This window comes from Homo sapiens, chromosome 5 (assembly GCF_000001405.40).
Source record: "Homo sapiens chromosome 5, GRCh38.p14 Primary Assembly".
In the NCBI taxonomy this organism is placed as follows: domain Eukaryota; kingdom Metazoa; phylum Chordata; class Mammalia; order Primates; family Hominidae; genus Homo; species Homo sapiens.
The window spans coordinates 56,414,135-56,416,177 of record NC_000005.10 but is presented as its reverse complement, the minus strand read 5'-3'; the positions used below and the strand labels follow the sequence as shown (position 1 = coordinate 56,416,177).

At 42.2% G+C, this 2,043-nt stretch overlaps 1 annotated feature.

Annotated features, from left to right (window-relative positions):
• Positions 794-843: an enhancer, noted in NCBI's record as "active region_22564". NCBI's record gives its function as "activates an Ori minimal core promoter by ATAC-STARR-seq in GM12878 lymphoblastoid cells {active_cell/tissue: GM12878}" and the evidence as "EXISTENCE:reporter gene assay evidence [ECO:0000049][PMID:35858748]".

Genomic DNA, 2,043 nt, shown 5'->3' with positions numbered 1-2,043 from the left:
AGAAGTGCAGACGAGCTGGAAGAGTAAGGTGCATGAGTAAATATGAGCTGAGCTACTCAGAATTTTGACAGGACCAATAATTCCTGAAACCTTTGATGTCTGTTTTATACATACACACACACACACACACACACACACACACACACACACACACACTGACCTCCCACAGTGTGCCAGTTAAAACAATGAAATCCCAGAAGAGTTAACTTGACCGAGTCTGAGAAAGCATTACTAGATATCTAAGGACAAAGAAAGAACAAAACTATTTTTAAAAATCTGAAAATGTTAAAAGCTCCAAGAAAAGAGTTAAGATGTGTCTTAAGAATTCAAAAGCCCTCAAAGCTAGCAGATAATAAAGAGAAGAGTGAGTTGACAGTGACAACAAGGCAAATTCTGGCCTTGAATTGCAATCTTTAGGTTCCAGGCTTAGGACTCTCAGAAATTTCATAGCTCCTTGGTTTTGAAATAATGTAAACAATGGCCTAGAAAGACATTCCTGAGAAGTAGACTGGACTGCAGATAAGAAGCTGGACCCAAGGCTCAGGCTGGTGTTAAGACTGTGCAATCTACTTCTCTGTGAAACTTTCTTGGGGGTGAGAAGTTTAGAGTCAACAACTGGAAGAACTCTGTAGAGAGGCGTGGCCCAATTGCTGCTTCCTCTTTTCTCCTGGGGGCAAGTTTCATCAGTCTCAGAGCCCTGCTGTTTGTCATGGGAAATGGGGTGATGGCTGTAGTTCCTGTCTCAGTCTTATTGGTCGATCATACCCTGTCAGCGACCTAGGACATGGTAAGCACTCAAGCACACCATAATTATTTAATATTGATGCAGGGGCTGCCACGACTTAACAATATATTAATGACCAATATTTCATTACTGTGGGTTTGGGGACAGTCAGCCTTAATAGCAGGAGGCTAAACCAGAGTGACTAAAGAGCATCAGAGGATTTCGGATAGCACAGGCGGCAAAGGTCCATAGTGAGACAGCCACGGGGCAAAGGCAACTGGCTTTCTTTACTGAAGAACTACTTTGTGTCGGAGAACCTACTATAAGGAGTTATATTAGAGGTGAAGTTTCTCATGCATGGAGAGACTAGGAGTGATGGTTGACCCCAATATCTTTTTTTTTTTTTTAGAAACAGGGTCTTGCTCTGTGGCTCAGGCTAGAGTGCAGTGGCATAATCATAGCTCACTGTAGCCTCGAGCTCCTGGGCTGTAGGGATCCTCCTTCCTCAGCCTCCTGAGTAGTTGGAACTACAGGTGTGTGCTACTGCATCCAGCTAATTTTTAAAAACTTTTTTTGTAGAGACAGATTCTCACCCCCTTGCCCAGGCAAGTACAGAGATCCATGTACTGGCGCGGTGGCATAGTGGCTCATGCCTGTAATCCCAGCACTTTGAAAATCCTAGGTGGTAGGATTGCTTTAGCTCAGGAGTTCAAAATCAGCCTGGGCAACATAGCAAAAACATGTTTCTACAAAAAATATTTTAAAATGTAGCTGAGTGTAATGGTGCATGCCTCTGGTCCCAGCTACTCAGGAGACTGAGGCCAGAGGATCATCTGAGCCTAGGAGGTCAAAGCTGCAGTAAGCCATGATCACACCACTGCACTCCAGCTTGGAAGACAGAGCAAGACCCTGTCTCAGAAAAAAAAAAAAATGTTTAAAGAAGACAATTAATTTAGATATTTCAGGATTCCCACAAAATATCAGCAGCTAATAAAATCCTGTGCTAGGCCTTACCAAGACAAAATAACATTTAGCCCTATATTTGATGCCTCTCCCATAAAGTCTCAATTTTCTATTGCTATTTAAAAAAATGATGCCATGAAAATACAAAGCAGCTGAAATGAATTATGAGTCCTTTTCGGGGAGGAGAAGGGGGAAAATCTTTCCCCAGGGGCACATTTTTTAAAGTTCCTCTTTCTATTTGAAATGCTTCCTGACTTGAAGCCTTGCAAGAATTTCACAATTAGATGGGTGCAGGGAAGAACAGTTCTGCAGAGTAGCAGAACATTTCTTGCAAATTAAAAAATTATTTGGTTCTG